This window comes from Homo sapiens, chromosome 7 (assembly GCF_000001405.40).
Source record: "Homo sapiens chromosome 7, GRCh38.p14 Primary Assembly".
In the NCBI taxonomy this organism is placed as follows: domain Eukaryota; kingdom Metazoa; phylum Chordata; class Mammalia; order Primates; family Hominidae; genus Homo; species Homo sapiens.
Genome location: NC_000007.14, coordinates 26,919,561 through 26,934,165, shown reverse-complemented (window position 1 = coordinate 26,934,165; position 14,605 = coordinate 26,919,561). Strand labels below are relative to the sequence as shown.

The 14,605-nt window shown below is 38.9% G+C and overlaps 1 pseudogene; it reads right to left on the bottom strand.

Moving 5' to 3' along the window:
• RPL7AP38 (ribosomal protein L7a pseudogene 38) lies at positions 11,200-12,058 on the bottom strand (annotated as a pseudogene).

Genomic DNA, 14,605 nt, shown 5'->3' with positions numbered 1-14,605 from the left:
TCAGTTTTTGCCCATTCAGTATGATATTGGCTGTGGGTTTGTCATAGACAGCTCTTATTATTTTGAGATACGTCCCATCAATACCTAATTTATTGAGAGTTTTTAGCATGAAGGTTGTTGAATTTTGTCAAAGGCTTTTTCTGCATCCATTGAGATAATCATGTGGTTTTTGTCTTTAGTTCTGTTTATATGCTGGATTATGTTTATTGATTTGCATATGTTGAACCAGCCTTGCATCCCAGGGATGAAACCCACTTGATCATGGTGGATAAGCTTTTTGATGTGCTGCTGGATTCGTTTTGCCAGTATTTTATTGAGGATTTTTGCATCGATGTTCATCAGGGATATTGGTCTAAAATTCTCTTTTTTTGTTGCGTCTCTGCCAGGCTTTGGTATCAGGATGATGCTGGCCTCATAAAATGAGTTAGGGAGGATTCTCTCTTTTTCTATTGATTGGAATAGTTTCAGAAGGAATGATACCAGCTCCTCCTTGTACCTCTGATAGAATTCGGCTGTGAATCCATCTGGTCCTGGACTTTTTTTTGGTTGGTAAGCTATTAATTATTGCCTCAATTTCAGAGCCTGTTATTGATCTATTCAGAGATTCAATTTCTTCCTGGTTTAGTCTTGGGAGGGTGTGTGTGTCAAGGAATTTATCCGTTTCTTCTAGATTTTCTAGTTTATTTGCATAGAGGTGTTTATAGTATTCTCTGATGGTAGTTTGTATTTCTGTGGGATCAGTGGTGATATCCCCTTTGTCAGTTTTTATTGCATCTATTTGATTCTTCTCTCTTTTCTTCTTTATTAGTCTTGCTTGCAGTCTATCAATTTTGTTGATCTTTTCAAATAAGCAGCTCCTGGATTCATTGATTTTTTGAAGGGTTTTTTTGTGTCTCTATCTCCTTCAGTTCTGCTCTGATCTTAGTTATTTCTTGCCTTCTGCTAGCTTTTGAATTTGTTTGCTCTTGCTTCTCTAGTTCTTTTAATTGTGATGTTAGGGTGTCAATTTTAGATCTTTCCTGCTTTCTCTTGTGGGTATTTAGTGCTATAAATTTCCCTCTACACACTGCTTTGAATGTGTCCCAGAGATTCTGGTATGTTGTGTCTTTGTTCTCGTTGGTTTCAAAGAACATCTTCATTGCTGCCTTCATTTCGTTATGTACCCAGTAGTCATTCAGGAGCAGGTTGTTCAATTTCCATGTAGTTGAGCGGTTTTGAGTGAGTTTGTTAATCCTGAGTTCTAGTTTGATTGCACTGTGGTCTGAGAGACAGTTTGTTATAATTTCTGTTCTTTTATGTTTGCTGAGGATTGCTTTACTTCCAACTATGTGGTCAATTTTGGAATAGGTGTGTGTGGTGCTGAAAAGAATGTATATTCTGTTGATTTGGGGTGGAGAGTTCTGTAGATGTCTATTAAGTTAGCTTGGTGCAGAGCTGAATTCAATTCCTGGATATCCTTGTTAACTTTCTGTCTCGTTGATCTGTCTAATGTTGACAGTGGGGTGTTAAAGTCTCCCATTATTATTGTGTGGGAGTCTAAGTCTCTTTGTAGGTCTCTAAGGACTTGCTTTATGAATCTGGGTGCTCCTGTATTGGGTGCATATATATTTAGGATAGTTAGCTCTTCTTGTTGAATTGATCCCTTTACCATTATGTAATGACCTTCTTTGTCTCTTTTGATCTTTGTTGGTTTAAAGTTTGTTTTATCAGAGACTAGGATTGCAACCCTTGCCTTTTTTTGTTTTCCATTTGCTTGGTAGATCTTCCTCCATCCCTTTATTTTGAGCCTATGTGTGTCTCTGCACATGAGATGGGTTTCCTGAATACAGCACACTGATGGGTCTTGACTCTATCCAATTTGCCAGTCTGTGTCTTTTAATTGGAGCATTTAGCCCATTTATATTTAAGGTTAATATTGTTATGTATGAATTTGACCCTGTCATTATAATGTTAGCTAGTTATTTTGCTCGTTAGTTGATGCAGTTTCTTCCTAGCCTCAATGGTCTTTACAATTTGGCATGTTTTTGCAGTGGCTGGTACCGGCTGTTCCTTTCCATGTTTAGTGCTTCCTTCAGGAGTTTTTGTAGGGCAGGCCTGGTGGTGACAAAATCTCTCAGCATTTGCTTGTCTGTAAAGGATTTTATTTCTCCTTCACTTATGAAGCTTAGTTTGGCTGCATATGAAATTCTGGGTTGAAAATTCTTTCTTTAAGAATGTTGAATATTGGCCCCCACTCTCTTCTGGCTTGTAGAGTTTCTGCCGAGAGATCAGCTGTTAGTCTGATGGACTTCCCTTTGTGGGTAACCTGACCTTTCTCTCTGGCTGCCCTTAACATTTTTTCCTTCATTTCAGCTTTGGTGAATCTGACAATTACGTGTCTTGGAGTTGCTCTTCTTGAGGAGTATCTTTGTGGCGTTCTCTGTATTTCCTGAATTTGAATGTTGGCCTGCCTTGCTAGGTTGGGGAAGTTCTCCTGGATAATATCCTGCAGAGTGTTTTCCATCTTGGTTCCATTCTCCCTGTCACTTTCAGGTACACCAATCAGACGTAGATTTGGTCTTTTCACATAGTCCCATATTTCTTGGAGGCTTTTTTTTTTTTTTTTTTTTTGAGACGGAGTCTCGCACTATCACCCAGGCTGGAGTGCAGTAGCGCAATCTCGGCTCACTACAAACTCCGCCTCCCGGGTTCACGCCATTCCCCTCCCTCAGCCTCCCGAGTAGCTGGGACTACAGGCACCCGCCACCGCAACTGGCTAATATTTTTGTATTTTTAGTAGAGATGAGGTTTCACCGTGTTAGCCAGGATGGTCTCGATCTCCTGACCTCGTGATCCACCCGCCTCGGCCTCCCAAAGTTCTGGGATTACAGGCATGAGCCACTGCGCCCAGCCTTCTTGGAGGCTTTGTTCATTTTTTTTATTCTTTTCTTGCTCAGATTTAGAATGGGATCTATGGTGCTACCAGTTATATAGAGGCTGTAAACTGACATTAAAGGGTTGAGGAGGTAAAATGTATGACTAGAGGTAGCAATCCTGAATACATTCCACACATTGTCTTGCCCCATTCACTGGGAGGCCTTTAATTAAAAGACTGAGTTTTACAGAATTGCAGAAAAAATTACTTGGTCAGCAATATGCATGGGTAAATGTTCCTGATGCTGCTGCTGCCTCTGCCTCTCAACCCATTTCCCCTTATGTTTCTAACTGCCTGTTACTACTGACCTTATAATAACCTCATATTCTTGATGGTTTGGCAACATTTAAGAATGATTGTTTCTGGAGGACATCAATGGATTCCAAAAGTCAAAAAATTCCCAGACACATTACAAGCTGGAACTAGTTATACAGAGTTACTGGGTCCTTGAAAGACAGTATTGCAGAATAAGAGGTAAATCCACCCTAATCCTGGGGTGCTGTATAATGCAGAAAAATATAGGCCTCACCTTCCAACAAAGCAATAAACATATATAAGGAAATAATTATAAATATCACTCAAACATGGCATACACTACAGGAAAACACAGTGATGCCTGCTGAACCTAAAAGTGATGTTTTAAAAACCAGCTCGTTTACTACAAATACTATGAATTGGATTCTGCTAGTATGAGTAAAAACTTGCATTACACATCCTAGTCGCCCCAAACATGAAAGCTTCAGCTGTTTTGGGATTAATCAAGATCATACCAGCAAATGTGCAGTCTTTTTACTGTGTGTGTGTTTTTTTAGTGATTTGCCTTCTTGGCTTACTCACTAAGGTTTGCCTGTTTTTCCTCATTCTCTCCTGCGTCTTTACACAGTGCTCTGTCTGACAGCAAGCTGGATAAATCATCAATTGCATGCTGATGAGCTGGTTTGCCTTCTTTTGCCAGATTAAATCAGGACAGCCTTCAGTTTGAAAAAGGAGAAGATGGTCTGTGTGTTAACCTCACACCTTCCCTTCCTTTCCTTTATCTGAGGCCTTTTCCATTCCAAAACTCTCCTCTGCTGTGTCCCTAATTTAGGACATGTCCTTTTCTTCATCTTTTCTGCCAGGAACATAACTGTTTCATTGTTCTACCAACTTGTTTTCTTGATTGTTTTTACTGATCTTATTTTGTGTTCCTTTTAATAAATAAGTACAAAACTTTCTGAAAAGTGAAGTAGAAAGTCTACTCATTCACATTCTGAGGCAAAAACTCATATTTATAAATTCAATTTTTATATAAGATGGTAATAACAAGGAAAAAAAGACCTATAAACTAGCATTCCCAAAATTGTTTTGAGAAACACATTCCAGAACCTTTAATATGCTAATTGTACATTGTAAATCTCCATGAAAAGGGTATCGTATCCTATGTTTCCCAAACTTTACATGATCAATCCTTGTTTCCAAAGGATTTTCAATACATTAGTGTTTCCAGGAACAATACTCTATTAGAAATATCATATTCCATTTTCCTACAACTTATGTTATAGCTTTATATGTAATTTGGTAATTAGTCATTATTTCAAAGAACCCCAGACCTCACATCTTTTTAATAGTGATCTTTGTGGGGGAAGTTGGCCTGAGAGTTCATAAGGATTCATTGCAATTTGAATACATTAAAAAAAATTTAACATTCTAGAAACCTGTAAATATCTGTTTAGATAGGACAACTTACTTCCATTTTTATCTTCATTTCTACCTTAAAAAGTTTAGAGAGAGGTATGGATAGACTTCAGTATTTTTTCTATTCTTATTTATTTACTATTTTATGTACAATGGAAAGAAGTAGCTGAGGCCATGGATATAAATGCTGAATTTTACCTGCCAATATGAGTCTTGTGATTTGTCAATATTTCAGAACACTGCTCTTGGGGCTGAGCATGTCACATTAGTATACAATGAAGCTTCCTTTCTCTCCCAAAATATGTTCTGTATCTTGACTACGTCCCAGTCAAGGCCCCAGTCATCAACTTTAAACCTACAAGGTCACCTGGTCATCTTGTGATTACAACAGCAGCTTTACTGCTTGTAATTGTCTTACAGCTGTGGCAGGTCAAAGGAAAAATGTTCTTTAAACACCATAAGCATCTGACTGTGCAATACCTAAATGAGTGTCATTGATTATTCACACTGCTGGCTGGTCAAAGCTGGGGAAGTAATTAGGGCTTTCTGTGTGGATTATCCACTGAGAAAAGGTCAAATAACTACAAACAGTGCCAACAGAGAGGAGCCACCGAGGACTGCGGCATCCGTGATCAGTTAAGAAATGCTAAAGCAAGGCTTAATAATGATGTGCTTATGCCAAGTTCTACAGAATGTGATCATTCTGTCACAGAAATCCGATGAACCATGAGTGATGGCTACTTTTTCCCTGGAAGCACTGCTTCAGGTCCCTGATGCCTATCAAACAGGTTTGTCAGAGAAACCAGACTGAGAAGAATTTAAAAAGCATGGCTTTCCCTCTTGTCTTTTTTCTTTAAATCAAGAATAGAGGACTTTTCGGCTAACAGCCATTCTTCTTATCTCCCCTTTAAAAGCATCACAGCAATATTGTTTTTCATATTTTTTGATAAAATATCCCATCAAATGGCTTGTGTTGTGGGAACCTGAAACCACTCTTTTGCTGATTTAAATTAGGAGCTTGGAAAAAACCCTCTTTGAACTATAGTTCTATTTATAGTAGTATAATGCTGAAAACAAGTTTCAGTTTGCTGAAGGGTCTTTCATATTTTCCAAGTTTAAGATATTTCTGCTAAATCCACTTAGTCATACTTTGAGCTAACCTCCATTCTTCATAATGTTTGAAATTCTAAAGTTAAATCTTCATTGTTTTAGTTTAAATTTTGGTTTTTATCAAAATGAAGATATTCTGGGAAAGCCAGCCATTTAGCCATTTTTCATCCAAGCATAAATAAAACAATTTGAAAGTCAGTTTTGAGAAGGCATCAGGGAAATGATATTTGGGAAGTAAAGTAAGTAGTTGGAGGGACCCAAAACAAACATTTTTTGGGTTACTTCTTAACAATGCATGAATTATACTAGTATAGTGGGAAAAAAATGCCGAGAAGTAATTGAGAACACCAACTTTGTGAGGGTTCAATCACTTACTTAGTTCTATCACTTACTCTGTGATACTGGGCAAATCACTCAAACTTTCTCAGCCTTAGTAGTGGGTAGACAGAGTTTTTAAAAAACAATCTTTTATCAGAAGCCAGTGAAATAGCAGGTAGGAGATGAACAAACCAAGAAAATAGGGACTCTGAAAACAACTCTGTCCTTGTAGAATCACATCTGTCAGGGCCTTCTAAGAAATAAGAGTTGTGACCAATGATCTTCATATGGGGACAGCTCCTTGGGCCAAACTGCTGAGTTAGGCTTTGGGTTCTCTGGTCTCCATTGCCTATCCTTACCACACTTGCTTTAAATCTGAGCTTCCAGAATCTATGAGACTTCAGTCCTGTTTGATTATAGCTTAAGCCAGAGAGAAAAATCGTCAAATCCAGGGGTGGGATTTAATGGTGGGATTTCAGTTAAAATAACAAATCAAAAGAGATATTTTGATGCAGGTACCCCAACTCAATTCCCGAGTTGACTACCACCCTTTTTTCTCTTGTCTCAAACTGGAAGTCTCCTGGGTTGACAGAAAGAATTGTAATGAGAATAAAATTAGATAACATATGTGAAGTACCAGCACAGTGCCTGGCATGTAGTAAGGCTCAAGAATGGAGATATATATGTGCTAGAAGCCTAGGAGAGACAGAAAATTTTGCTGTTAAAATATTGATATATTTGTGTTTCTGAAATATTATTTTAAAAATTTTGTTAAGTTCTGAATGATAGAGTTGTGAGAGTTGTCTGCTATTCTGTATGAATTCCTTCCATTGATCATTTAAATGAGGGATTATCTTGTTTTCCCCTTTTAGACTGAGGATTAATTGTTGAAAGCAAAGATGGAATATATAGTGGTTCTGGAAGTTAGACTATCCAAGGAACATATTTTTCTATATTTTGTAACAAAGGAATTTTCATTGCTCAGCAATAAGAGGAAAAGAAAATAGAAACAATGTGGTTTAAATGGTGAGTAAGTAAAAAATTTATAATTCAGATTTCCATTATCTTTACTTTAAGAATATATTAAAGGTAAAATGAAAATGTTTTAAGTATTTTGTTTTAGTTCACAAATAGGATGAAAAAATTTATATTTTACATTTGCATTATTGTAATTTATGAGAAGAATGCTGTCCTAGACAAAGGCATTTTTTGCTTTTGGACAGCCAGGGTAGTTTGTCCCTGGCTTTAATGGGCTGCAGTAATGGGAGCATGGTAAAGTGATTTTTCTGTTGCCTCTATACCTGTTACTGTTTCTGGGGACTGATGGAGCAGGTGAGTGCCTCAGGGCAACAGTGATAGAGTGATTGGGAGGAGCAGTGGGAAGGAAGGAAGAAGAGGGAAGAAGCAGAAGACCCAGTTTTCATCTCAGCCTCATCTCATATTAGTCTTCCGGCCCCAAAAACATTGTAAAAGGAGGAGGTTTGTTGTTGTTTTGTAACAGCTTTGTTGAGATATAATTCACATACTATAAAATTAATCTTTTTAAAATGTACAATTGGCCGGGTGCGGTGGCTCACGCCTGTAATCCCAGCACTTTGGGAGGCCGAGGCAGGCAGATCACGAGGTCAGGAAATCGAGACCATCCTGGCTAACACAGTAAAACCCCGTCTCTACTAAAAAATACAAAAAATTAGCCAGTCGTGGTGACGGGCGCCTGTAGTCCCAGCTACTCTGGAGGCTGAGGCAGGAGAATGGCATGAACCTGGGAGGCAGAGCTTGCAGTAAACCAAGATTGTGCCACTGCACTCCAGCCTGGGTGGCAGAGTGAGACTCTGTCTCAAAAAAAGAAAACAAAGTACAATTGCTGGTTTTTATTATACTCAAAAAGTTGTACAACTGTTACTCTTTTCTGGTTTTAGAACATTTTTGTCACCCCCAAATAGAAATCTTGTACTCACTAGCACTCATTCCTCATTTTTCTTTCCCTCAGCCCCTGACACCCATTAATTTACTTCCTGTCTCTATGGCTTTGCCTATTCTGGACATTTCATGTGAATGGACTCATATAAGCTGTGGTCTTTTGTGTCTGGCTTTTTTTACTTGGCATAACGTTTCCAAGGTTCATCCATGTTGTGTTATTTATAACAGTACTTTATTCCTTTTTATTGCACAATATCATTTCATCTACAGATATATCACATTTTGTTTCTCATCAGTGGATGGTCATTTACTTTTTTTTTCACTTTTTGGTCATAATGAATAATGCTGCTGTGTGCATTTGCAGACAAGTTTTGCGTGGACATATGTTTTCATTTCTCTTGAGTAAATACCTAGGAGTGCATTTGCTGGGTCATGTGGTAACTCTATGTTTAACATGTTGAGGAACTGCCCAGCCATTGTCTAAAGTGGCTTCACTATTTTACATTCCCTCCAACAATGTATGAGGGTTCCAATATCTCTACCTCCTCATCAACGCTTGTTATTGGTCTTTTTAGATTATAGCCATCCTAGAGGGTGTAAAGAGGTATCTTATTTGGTCTTGATTTGCATTTCCCTGATAGCTAATATATAACAGTTGATTGTCTTTTCATCTATGTATTGGCCATCTGGAGAAATAAAAGAGACAAGGTTTATTTTCAGTGTTCTTCAACTTTTAGGGACTACCCTGTTAGGGTATTATAATCTCTCTAAAGTCTTGTTTTATCAAGGTGTATTTTAGGCAGATCCAGCTGAGAGCTTGGCATCCTGAGGCCTCATTTGCCTGGGTCAGTAGGAAAAAGGAAAGAAAGTGGAAACAGGAGGTCTGTAGTGAAGAGGTGTCTAACAGCTCATATTTGTCATTTGAAGAGGTAAGGCAGCTATGAATGGGCTTAGGTTAATGTCAGTATCCAAGGGGTTTAATCTGGTGTTTAGGACACAGTAGCAGAAACCTCTAGTGAGGAATGGTTATCAGAGTCATTCATTCATTCAACAGATATTTACCAATCACTTGCTGTGAACCAATGAGAATCTATTTTATGTGCTAGGGATAGTGCAGTAAAATAACAGCACATTCTCTGGCTTCATATTACTTACATTTTAGTAGAAGATCAATCCAGTTTAGAACAGAAATCTAGTCTGTGGGCCTAAGTGATCAGCAAAGGCTTGGCAGTGAATCAGGCCCAAGATTCGAATAGAACTCTTCTTCCAGTAAGAGATTCCAATATCACCTTAGAAAATCCTAGCAGAGGTCTGATCAGAGTGGGAAAAATACCTACACTAGGATGAAGGACCAGAGGGCCATAGGCAGGCTTGTGAATTTTTACTTTGCTATAGACAGCAAGACTAACTCCACACCCCTCTTGGTGCTGGTCATGATTAGTTTAGGAGAGGAGTGGGGTTGAACAGATAGTAGGAGGCCATTTGTGCCTGCAGCAGATCTAGACTTAGGGGAGAAGGAAAATGACATCTCTCCTCTAAAATGCGGATTCCTTCCCTCAGAGTCTCTACAGTAATCTTTTATGGGAGTGATATGACAGGTAAGTGGTAGAGTTGTGAGCCTTCAGGGAGAGAACTAACTTAAAAGCACTCTGAAATATTGCCAAACGGCATTCATATGTAAGGCATTAGAATAATAATGATAATTATTGCTTGTAGTAACTGATGTCTGAGAGGGCATCAACCTGGTATGGTAGCAGGTGACACAGAAGGAGAAGAGACCATGAACATACAATGAGCTCATTTCTCTTCTGCTCAAGGAACCCAAGTAATTACAAAACTTCAGCATATGTTTTGCATTACACATGTGGCTCTGTCAAAAATGATGGAGTGGTGTCACTTTATGTCTCTTTGAACTAAATGAGAGAGAGAGATGAGAAGTAAGTAGGCAAGAGACTGTATTTGATTTTATCTTTCTGCTTAAACTGTGTTTTCAATTTATAAACCAATTGGATACAAAATACTTATTACAGAACATGACTCTTTCCTTTTATATTAGAGGAGTTATCAACAGAGTGGTTTCTTGTGCTTATTAGAATCTTTGTTCAAATAAAGCCAAGTAAGAAAAATGGGTTGGGCCTCATCTGTCAGAGGGCAGAGGTAAGAAATAAGTAGACAAAGCACAGTATCAGAATGCATTTGACTGCAAGAAATAGAAAAGTCATCTGTACAGGCCTAAACAAATGAGCTTTGTATTTCTAACATAACAAGAAGTCTGGAGGTAGGCAGTTGCCTGAGTCAGTTCAGTAATCCAATGATTTCAGGGCCAGCTTCTTCATCATTTTCCTGGCCAGAATATAGCTACCATGGCTCCAGTCACCATGTCCATGTTCAGGACAAGAAGGAAGACTGGTAGAGACATTCTACTTGTGGAGTCTTGTCTTTTTATTAGCAAGAGAGCCTTCCCTAGTGGACTTTCCCTTTGTCTCCTTGGCCAGGATTCAGTCATGTGCCCACTTATTGGCCAATCCCTGAGGAAAGAAAAGAAAATTACTATGACTGATTTAGACCAATTTCAGCTCATTCCTTGTTGTTGAGGTAGGGGTCTACCCTTCCTGAAATCAAGGGATCTCTTTCAAAAACCTGAATACAAATTGGAGTTTTGTTACCAGGGAAGAAGAGAGAAACATTTCTTGTTTAGACTAGGCACAGTGTCTGCCTTATGTGCCAGTGGATCAAAAAGTGGCTGCACACCCAATTCAGGGTGGGGAGACTCCTGAAAACTTAGTACAAAAAGATTCACAGAACTCTGCACATTAAACTAGAAAGTTGTCCCTGGCTAATCTTGTACTCCAGTATCTCCATTGCAGAGTCTTATGTGGTTCTTTCTTTCTCACTGCAAACTAAAGATGAAGGATTCTTTTGGGAGGCTGAAGTGGGCAGATCACTTGAGGCCAGGAGTTCGAGACCAGCCTGACCAACATGGTGAAACTCCGTCACTACTAAAAATATAAAAATTAGCCGGGCATGGTGGCAGGTGCCTGTAATCCCAGCTGAGGCAGAAGAATCACTGTAATCCCAGCTGAGGCAGAAGAATCACTTGAACCCGGGGGGTAGAGTTTGCAGTGAGCTGGGATCATGCCACTGCACTCCAGCCTGGGTGACAGAGCAAGACTCCGTCTCAAAAAAAAAAAAAAAAAAAAGGATTCTTCAGCCAGTGCATAGCCCACTGCAATGGGTGGTCTCCTGCCCTTTTTCTTTTTCTTAAAATTTGTATTATTTTAATTATTTTTATGTACAGAAATCTCAACAGTGTGCATTTAACCCAGTTTGGTGGCAAGTTCTTTAGCCTTTGCCTTTTCAAGCTTGGCAATGCGAGCCACAGATTTGGGACCCAGGACATTGCCTCCCCAGTGACGGCAGATCTCATCGTATCTGTTGTTGTAGTTGGTCCTGATAGCTTCCACTAGCTTAGCCAAAGCTTCTTTGTCTTCCAAGTTCACCTGTGTGAAGGTGACAGTGATCCAGGTCTTCCTGTGGACTATATGTCCCAGTCTTGCCTTCCTCTTGATAATGCAGGGGAAGAGACCCCCATTTTATGACACAAGGCAGGTAGGAAGACAAGCTTGATGGGATCCACATCATGTACAGTCACCACCAGCTGAGCCTTCTTGTTCTCCACCAAGGTGGTGACGGTGTTAACTCCTGCTTGAAGGACAAGTGGTCTCCTAGTGGAGATGTCCCCTTTGCTGCAAGCTTTCTTCTCAGCCCGGACCAACAGCCTCTGCTTCTTCTCTTGCTTTGTCTTTCTCTTGTTTGGTCTGTAGTTGTGGGCCAGCTGAAGCAACTGAGTAGCTGTTTGGTGGTGCAGGGCCTGGGTGAACTGGTTAATTTCAGGATGCACTTTCAGCCACTTACAGAGGATGACTCTCTGCCACTGCAACCTGATATAGTGGGACCATTTCTTGAAGCAAGTGAGGTCTCTTTTGGGCTGGATGTCCTGTCCAATGCCAAAATTCTTAGGCCTTTTCTCAAGCAGGGGATTCACCACTTTCTTAACCTCCTGCTTCATCACGACAGCAGGGGCTGGAGCCACCTTATTCCCCTTGGCCTTCTTTCTTTTCGCTCCTGCCCTTTTTCATTCTTTCTCAGCTGCCAGAGCCTCTTAAGGACCTAAGGAAAAAAATAGCTAACATCTTTTGGGCTCTTACTGTGTGCTGGGCACTGTGCCGAGCACTTGGATACTATTAGTTTCATCCTTATTTTATACTTGAGAAACTGTAAGTTAACCTTCTTAGCCTGGGGCCACAATCTCTCAGGAACTGTGGACTGCTTTGTTTCCCTGGTTAGGAGCTACCAGTCTACTATTTGGTTCTTCCATTTTCAATAAGCTCAGTTTCTTCATCCCTATCACTTTATAGTGTTTCTCAGAGTATTCTGGAAAGGCTACCATGTAAGTATAAGCTGACCAGTCATACTATTAAGTGGCAAGGCCAATTCTTGACTTTCAGAGTCTGTGCTCTGAAAAACTGTGTTTAGCTATCTAATCCCTCCAAAGAGAAGGATAGTAAAATGGAGATTGAGAGGGCTAATCTAAATATCCAGCGCTTGGCGTTAAACCTTACAGACTGCAATAGACAGCAAATGTAAATTTAACAAGGCCTTTCTGAAGATATAATGCCTGAAATTTAATGCTAATAGGAGAGTTTTCATATTCTGAGGAATTTTTGTGGGGCAGCTCTCTGGGGGACAAGCATACAGCTTGTCCAATAAAAGCCTTTCAGGCGACTTCCTTCAATAAAAGCCACATTAGCTCTCAAAGAAATAATAATATAGGTGATTATTCATTTTTCAAACATGTCCTTGAACTTATCAGAACTGTACCTTTACAGAGGAATAGGAATGGGAATCTCATGTTAGATGGAAACCCTGCTTCTTACAGGTGACATAAAATGAAACACACCTATTTGAACATCATTTTTTTAAAACCTTATTTTGTTTCTTCGATGTTTTTATTGAAGCTGAAAAGCTTTTTCTGAGCAGTAAGTGACCTTGACGAAAACTGGCTTTGCTCTACAGATATTTTAAAGTTATAATGGTCAGATGGACACGCCTGATTGATACTGTTTTCACACCCAATTCTCTACTGTTTATTTTAATGTGCATAACTTGCTTGCATTAGCTTGTGCGGACTCTAACTGACAGTGGAGCATTCTGCAGTGATTTTTTTTATGGCAGTCTTCATACAAAAGTACTTTATAGTATGGTTTGAGCCAAGTTTGTACACTAAAAACTAAAAGGACAGTTAATGGGTGCAGCACACCAACATGGCACATGTGTATATATATGTAACAAACCTGCACATTGTGCACAAGTACCCTAAAACTTAAAGTATAATAATAAAAAAAACTAAAAGGACTGTTATTTTTTTCAAGATTGAACTGGAGGAAGACTCCAGGGCACTGCCCTTCCAATGCCAAGCAGTACACCCATCTACACTCTGTCATCATTATATGTAAACATCATTTAATGAGTGCTTTCATGGAAAATCGCGTGAAGAATGTGGAAGAATTCTTTTTTCCTTTTATGTTTTCACAGAATGTAAGGGCATAGGAGGTTTTGCCACCTCAAATATGGTCTTGTTTTTGCCGGCTTATTGATTTAGGAATGAAAGAATAACCTGGTTTGGGGTGTGGATTTCTAAGCATTTGATCTTTTGTTGAAATACCATTCTTATTTCATGATGTTCAAGTATTTTGACAGCTTCTTGTTAATGAGGGTACTGGAATGAGGTGGGGTGGGGATCAGGACTAAGCAGCATATCAGAGGGTATATTTGCCTTTTCTATACAATCTCAAAGTAGACTCTTGTTCTCAGATTAATTTTCTTTCTAGAGGAGGAAATACATTTGAATTTCCCACAGTATAGTTAAAGAACTTCTGTTTCATATGCAAAGTATAGCACAGAACTTAAAATAAAAATTTCCATTTGTATGCTTATGCATCGAAGTATGCAAAGACTGGTTCAATAGCTAACAGAACTAACAATAAATGCCTTTTTCAAAGGGTTACCCATTGGAGCTAGGCTATTAAAAGAATTGTGTTCTACTGCCAAGTATCTGAGCTTGCCTAAACATGCTACACTAGCTGTGAATCATTTTAGTAATAATGATGTATAGCAGAAAATTGTAATATATATAAGGAGCTTTAAGGGACTTTTTCCTCGAAATGCTCTCTAATGTAATACATTGGCCTACAGCATAGCCAGTATTATCAGAAAGGTAACAAAAGAAGAGAGGCAATGTATATTCTTTCACAGGAAGCTAGCCACTCAAAGAGTAAAACAGGCTCATGTTTTAATGTTGGTGATTGCTGGTTAGGATGTTTACTTCTGGAGAGAATCTTCAGATTGTCTCTGGTACAAGAACAGAGATCCATAAACTGGTAGCATTTAAATCACAGGTTAAAACTCCTTCATTCTCTGAAAATGTTCTAAAATTGGATTGTGGTAATAATTATACAATTCCTGTCCCATTATGTACAGAAAGAACATTTAAATCATTCATTCAAAAAATGAAATGAAAAATTGCAATCAGGAAAATTCTCTCAGTATCATGAGACATATTGTGAACCAATATCTGCCTCTTTTTTTCATGTCCAACAGTTTCTTTGT